Source organism: Homo sapiens, chromosome 6 (genome assembly GCF_000001405.40).
Source record: "Homo sapiens chromosome 6, GRCh38.p14 Primary Assembly".
Taxonomy (NCBI): Eukaryota; Metazoa; Chordata; class Mammalia; order Primates; family Hominidae; genus Homo; species Homo sapiens.
The window spans coordinates 154,553,398-154,561,271 of NC_000006.12; positions in this window are offsets into that span (position 1 = coordinate 154,553,398).

The following is a 7,874-nucleotide window of genomic DNA, read 5'->3' on the forward strand; positions in this document are numbered from 1 at the left end:
AAGAGAGTGCTGTTCTTGTGAGGTCCGAAGCGAGGAAGATATTACGCAGGGGCAAAGGAGTTGCTAATAACATTACCTGGAATTTTTTTCTAAGTTAGAAAATACCCTAGAGAGCATGTTAGCCAACCTACCCATTTTACAGATAATAATAATTCTTACTGTTTACTGAGTACTTCCTATTTGTGAAGTGTTATGGGCTAAATATGCCCCTTCAAAATTGGTCTATTGGGCCGGGCGCAGCGGCTCACACCTGTAATCCCGGCACTTTGGGAGGCCAAGGCGAGTGGATCTTCTGAGGTCAGGAGTTTGAGACCAGCCTGGCCAGCATGGTGAAACCCTGTCTCTACTAAAAATACAATAATTAGCCGGGCGTGGTGGTGGGTGCCTATAATCCCAGCTACTCTCAAGGCTGAGGCAGGAGAATCGCTTAAACCGGGGAGGTGGAGGCTGCAGTGAGCTGAGATGGCACCACTGCACTCCAGCCTGGGCAACAGAGCAAGACTCCATCTAAAAGAAAAAAACAGTGTATTGACACCCTTATCCCGAATGTGATAGTATTTGGAGGTGGGGCCTTTGGGAGGTAATTAAGTTTAGATTTCGTTATCAAAGTGGAGCTCCTTGATGGGATTAGTGCCCTTCTACAAAGAGGAAGACAGTGATCACCTTTCCATGAGCACACACAGAGAAGAGTCCGTGTAAGGACACCGCAAGGAGGGTGGCTGTCTACCGGCCAGGAAGCCGGCCCTCACTAGAAACCGAATTTGCTAGCAGCTTGATCTTAGACTTATGAGCCTCTAGAATTGTGAGAAATAAGTATCTGTTGTTCAAGCCGCCCAGTCTATGATATTTTGTTATAGCAGCACAAGTGGACTAAAACGTTAGGCAATGATCCAGTTGCACTACGAATATCATCTCATTAATTCAGAACTAAATCTATGAGGTCGCTGGCATTATTTAAGAGTGAAGAAATGGAAGCCCTAAGAGGTAAGTAACTTGCCTGGGCAATTCAGAAATTCCATCACAGAGCCAAGATTCAGATCCTCATCTCTCCATTCCCAGGAGCAGTTGTTTTCCCATTATCTTAACGTCTCTGGAAAGAGAGTACTGTGCAATTTATTTTTTAAAGGTGCAAATCCGTATGTTTTGAAACTTCCCAAATGGTTCCATTTCATGCCCAATGCCATAGAGCCAGTTAACAGTGAGTCAGGATTAGCTCTGGGGTTCTGCCTCCCCTTCGAGTTTCTTCCCTGCGCCCTGACCTTACTTTACTGAGCAAAGTGCACATGGGAAACAGCAGTACTGCATTTTTTGTGATCCACGGAGGGTCAATGTTTTAACTTCACAGCCACAGGTCCACCTGCAGAGCCCTCCTCCTCACTCCCATGCTATCTCTGCAGAGGCTTTGGGGAGCTACGCTTCAGCCCCACCCTTTGTCCCACAAGCACCACATTCAGTGGTCTCTACAGTGTCATCCGGAGCTAAAGGATGGGGGAAATGTGGACAATCACAGATCTTCTCTGCACTGGTTCAGATAAAGGCTATTTTTAGTCCAATTCTGTGAGGCACAGTTTTCAGATTTTGAAGATGATTTGTATTTAATTCAATTTAAGCCTGACTTCTTGTCTTTCTCATGGTGAAAGACACAGGATGACTTTTCCCATTATTAAAGATGCAGCGTACAGGATATACACGGCCAAATGCCCAGGCAAAGTCAAGATGATGTCATTCCTGTGTTCAACTTAACCATGCCCTAGCCTAAGGGGAGTGACTCCTTTTACTCATAAAACATCACAGCTTGGTGCCCGGGTTAAGCTACGCTACGTGATATGATTTCATATTTGAGCCATGGCATCTCTAATGCATTAGGCTTTTGCTAGCTTAAGCTTCTTAATGGTGTGTGTTGTTGGTATAAACAAATGCCAACCTCACCACGGCAATGTCAAATTCCTCAGATGCCTCAGCACAATTAAGAGAACAAAGTTGCTGTAAAGTAATTACACAGTATGGATTAATGTGTAATCCTGAAGAGCAATAACACCCATAGCAAGCATGAGCTCTGTTTTATTACTGAGCGAGAGAGAAGGCTGGTGGGTGGGGTGGGGGTGGGGGGGAATTCCAAAGCACAAGCATTCATTCACCTTTCTGCACAGGCCTAGCTGACACAGGACTGTTTTGGTAACTGAGTGTAATCTAACATTCCTGAATTCTTCAGGCATAGCTGGGGCACCCTGGGAAACCCATCCCACCCCTAGGCCTGGCACTACCCAAAAAGTGTTCTCCTGGAACCTGAGAGGGGAGGTGCATGTCCTTATAAAATTTCTTCTAGGGTTTAAACTGGCAGTTCCTATAATTATCATTATTTTCTGGGAAAGAGACAAGATTTTGTTACTTGTCTTTCTTTCATACGAGCAGAAACTGCTCTATAAGTAGTTTGTTTTGTTTTGTTTTGTTTTTATTGAGAGAGGGGTTTCACCATATTGCCCAGGCTGGCCTCAAACTCCTGAGCTCAAGCAATCCACCCAATACCCACCTTGGTATTCCAAACGTGCTGGGATTACAGGCGTGCACAACTGTGCCCAGCCTATATAAATATTCTGACCACGTATATAGTCAGCAAAACAGAGTTTTAAAATTTATAATTAATCTTCAGATTTAAATGTTTTCTACTTTTTACTGCTATGTAAGGATTCTATGAAGGACATCAAATAAAAAACATTCTCCACGTTTAAAAGTGGGTTTACAAAGGCATGTAAATCATTCTATTATAAAGATACTTGCACATGTATGTTTATTGCACCACTATTCACAATAGCAAAGACATGGAATCAACCTAAATGACCATCAATCATAGACTGGAAAAGAAAATGTGGTCCATATACACCATGGAATACTATGCAGACATAAGAAGGAATGAGATCCTGTACTTTGCAGGGATATGGATGAAGCTGGAAGCCATCATCCTCAGCAAACTAACACAGGAACAGAAAACCAAACACCGCGCGTTCTCTCTCATAAGTGGGAGCTGAGCAATGAGAACACGTGGACACAGGGAGGGGAACAACACACACCCAGATCTGTGGGAGAGTGGGGGGAGGGAGAGAATCAGAATAAATAGCTAATGCATGTGGAGCTTAATACCTAGTGATGGGTTGATAGGTGCAGCAAACCACCACGGCACATGTTTACCTATGTGACAAGCCTGCACATTCTGTGCATGTATCCAGAACTTAAAATAAAATTTAAAATAATAAAATTAAAAATTAAAAAAAAGGTGGGTTTAATGTGAGGGAGAAAAACAATTATCAACGTGTAAGATCAATGATCAGCCGTCCAAAGTAAATGCCTGAAAATGTGCATCTTTATGCCCCATTAGAACTTCAGGCCAGGCGCGGTCACTCACGCCTATAATCCCAGCACTTTGAGAGGCTGAGGCGGGCGGATCACGAGGTCAGGAGATCAAGACCATCCTGGCTAACATGGTGAAACCCCATCTCTACTAAAAATACAAGAAATCAGCCGGGCGCGGTGGCGGGTGCCTGTAGTCCCAGCTACTCGGGAGGCTGAGGCAGGAGAATGGCGTGAACCCGGGAGGCGGAGCTTGCAATGAACCGAGGTCGCGCCACTGCACTCCAGCCTGGGTGAAAGAGCGAGACTCTGTCTCAAAAAAAAAAAAAAAAAAAAAAAAAAAAAGAACTTTTAGGACCCCTGGAAGAAAATGTCCATAGGCCAGCATGCTGAATTTGTGGCTGAGATGGGTTTACTATTTCTCTAGTCATTGCAGTTTTCTTCAATGATAAATATTATTAATGAAAACAGGCATTTTAGAAGCTTAAAGGTGAATAAGAAAAGCAAGCTGCAGAAGTCTTCATACAATAAGAAACCTTTTTTGTTAAAGTTTCTATCAGGCAGGTTAGGTACAGTAGCTCACATATGTAATATCAGCACTCTGGGAAGCCAGGGCAGGAAGATCACTTGAGGCCAGGAGTTCAAGACCAGCCTGGACAGTATAGTAGGACCTCCATCTCTACAAAAAAAAATTTAAAAATTAGCCAGGCATGGTGGCATGTGCCTGTAGTCCCAGCTACTCAAGATGCTGAGGCAGGAGGATCCCTTGGGCCCAGGAGTTAGAGGCTGCAATGAGCTATGATGGCACCACTGCACTCCAGCCTGGGTGACAGTAACATGTCTCTCAAAAAAAAAAAAAAAAAGAAAGAAAGAAAGAAAAGGGATCTGCCATTTGCAATAATCTGGTTGAACCTAGAGTAGGAAGATGATTACCAGGTGTTTGGAAGGAGTGAGCTATGGGGAAATGTAGGTCAAAGAGTCAAATGGTAGGCCGAGTGCAGTGGCTCACGCCTGTAATCTCAGCACTTTGGGAAGCCAAGGTGGGTGGATCACCTGAGGTCAGGAGTTCAAGACCAGCCTGGGCAACATGGTGAAACCCCAACTCTACTAAAAATACAAAAATTAGCCAGGCGTGGTGGTGCACACCTGTAATCCCAGCTACTCGGGAGCCTGAGGCAGGAGAATCACTTGAACCCGGGAGGTGAAGGTTGCAGCCAGCCAAGATCATGCCACTGCACTCCAGCCTGGGCAACAAACAGATCGAGACTCTGTCTAAAAAAAAAAAAAAAAGTACAAAGGGTCAAAGGGGTGAATAAATCAGGAAAGCTAATTAATGTGCAACATGAGTACTATAGCTAATATACTAGAAACTTGCTAAGAGAATAGATTTGAGGCACTCTTATCACAAGAGAGAGAGAGAAAGGGAGGAGGAAGGAAAGGGAGGAAAGAAAGGCAGGTAGCTATGCAAGGTGAGGGATTTACTTGGCTGTAGTAATAACTTCACTATATTCATGAATATCAAAACATCAAGGCCGGGCGCAGTAGTTCACACCTGTAATCCCAGCACTCTGGGAGGCTGAGGCGGGCAGATCGCCTGAGGTCAGGAGTTCGAGACCAGCCTGGTCAACATGATAAAACCCCGTCTTTACTAAAAATACAAAAATTAGCTGGGTGTGGTGATGCATGCGCCTGTAATCTCAGCTACCTGGGAGGCTGAGGCAGAAGAATTGCTTGAACCAAGAGGCAGAGGTTGCAGTGAGCCGAGATTGCGCCACTGCATTCCAGGCTAGGCGACAGAGCAAGACTCCATCTCAAAAACAACAACAAAATCATGTTGTACACATTACATATGTAAAATACAATAAAATAAAAAGTGTTTTGCCAAAAAAAAGAAAGAGAGAGAAAAGAGGTCTGGGTGTTGGGAGGGTGCTTACCAACGCACAGGCCCATGGCGCCACTGGAGGAGCATGTCCCAAGACTGACCGTGGTTCATAAGCTTTTCCTTGTCACTCTCTTGCTTCTCTCAGGACAGAACCCTGACTACACCTGGTGTGGCCAGTCGGGCTGTCCTAAAAAGCTCCGTCATCCAGCATTCTCCAGTGGGCACCTGGGGAGGCCAAGAGTGTCTTTGAATTCACCCAAGCTCTGTCTGTTTTCCTACCCTTGGGGTCTAGCTGCTACTGGGTAAGCAACTGCTGAGGAAGAAAAGGCATAAAGAAAAGGCATTTTGAAATATCAGGACATGAATAAAGCCAAAAGTCATGCTCAGTTCAATATTCACCACAGCCAAACTGCCGCCGAGTACTAGGGAAGCATTTAAGAAGAGCAGTTTTGTCCTTTTGTGATCTCCTTAAATGGTAGCTTTACTGCATTGACATTTGTATTTATTTTTTCCTTCATGACCTAACTCCCACTCACTGCCCTCCCCGGGCTTATCTCCTGCCACCAACTCCAGACACACTGAACTGCTGGAATTCTCCAAAGACGCCCTCTCCTCTCCCTGTCCTGACCCCATGGGCAACACCTACTTACTCAGTAAGACTCAGCTCCAAAGAAACATCCCCAGAAAGCTTTTCCTAACCATTAACCACCAAGCCACGTTAGACACCCCTGCTATGTCCTTCTTCAGTGTGCTGTGCCCAACATCTCAGCCACATGAAATTGCCTGCTTTTCTGCCTTCACCAGGAGGCTTTTTGACAAGAAGCCCTTTAAAGGCAGAGACTGACCCTCATTCATTCACCAGCACAGTGTCTGCAATGCGCTAAGTGGTCAAGAGCAACTGCTTTCATGAATGATTAAATGAACTTCTTTCCTCTGAGCAGTGGTTTGCAGATGAGGAGTACAGCATGCACATGTGTGTGCGTGTGTGGGTTTGGGTTTGGCTAGAACAGTGACAAGCACCTGCAGTCTGTGGATTACAGACCACCCATCGCACTCATGTTGAAAACAGTCTCAAAACGTTTTGGCCAAAAGAAAGATGTATTGGTTCCCATCACACTAGAGAAGAAAGTGCTGAAGGGTGAGTCTGGTCTCACAAATGACGAAAACAAGAGATTCCAACACAATGTATTTTCTCTCTCTCTCTCTCTCTCTCTCTCTCTCTCTCTCTTCCTCCCTCTCCATCTCTCTTTCCATCTCTTATTTCTGCTCTGGATGAGACAGATGGGCTTTCCCCAAATGTGGAGAGAAACAGCCAACAGAAGCACTGAGCTCATGCCTTCCTGACTTCACATAAAAAGTCATCTTGTCTTGATCCTAATTTTGTCCTTTAGAAGGCTTGGGTCCTTCTGGCTTGGGTCACATGCCCCCTCACCCCCCGGCCCCCACTGCATTTATTGTGCTGAGCACTTAGTAGGCCACTCAGTAGGAAAATTCATATCCTTTAATTCAGCAAAAGTCATATCGTTTGTCTTGGGTTTTTTGGGGTTTTGTTTTGTTTTTGTTTTTGTTTTGAGAGGGAGTCTCCCTCTGTTGCCCAAGCTGGATTGCAATGGCATGATCTCGGCTCACTGCAACCTCCACCTCCTGGGTTCCACCCATCCTCCTGCCTCAGCCCCCAAGTAGCTGGGACTACAGGTGTGCGCCACCGCACCTGGCTAATTTTTGTATTTTTAGTAGCGATTGGGTTTCTCCATGTTGGCCAAGCTGGTTTCAAACTCCTGACTTCAGCCTCCCAAAGTGCTGGGATTACATATGTGAGTCACCCTGCCCAGCCTGTCTTGGTTTTTTGATCGTTAAATAATCTCCCTCTCCTCTTGCTTTCTCTGTTTTCTCACTCTGATATAATTACTGATGGATCTTCTAATTTGCTTATCTTGTTTGCTGCTACTCCTGTCTCAGTGTCCTCTTCTGCTTTGGGGAAGATTTTTTTCAACGTCACCCTTCATATTTAGTTTTACGGTTGTGCCATCTTTGTTTCAATATCCAGGAGGCTCTTTCTTGTTCTCTGAATATTAATTTTTTTATCACCCTCATTCTTACATGCATCTTGACTCTCACCTTTTCTGAGGATATTAACTAATAGCAAGTAGTTTGTTTTCGACATTTTCTTCTGTTTCCTTCAAGTTACTCTTATTTGGGCTCTGCATTTCATCTTAGAGGCTTGGCCTCTGATGCTTAGTGATCCCTGGCTATTCATATTTAGACATAAAACACTAAATGTTTCTTGTAAGTTCTCAGTGCTGGTGGGCTTCAAAATAGGGTGACCGTGAGCGTTAATTTTATGTGTCAACATGACTGGACTACAGGATACACAGACATTTGATCAAACATTGTTCTTAGTGTTTTTGGATGAGTTTAATGTTTAAATCCATAAACTGAGTAAAGCAAATTGCCCCCTCTGGAATGTGATGGGCCTTATCCAATCTCAGGCCTGAATAGAAAAAAAGACCGACCCTCCTGCAAGTAAGAGAGAACGCCTCCTGCCTGAGAAGGGGTTCAGAACAGGGACATTGTTTTAATTTTTTCCTGCCTTCAGACTCAAACTGAAATATTGGCTCTTCCTCGGTCCCCAGCCTGCCAGTTTTGG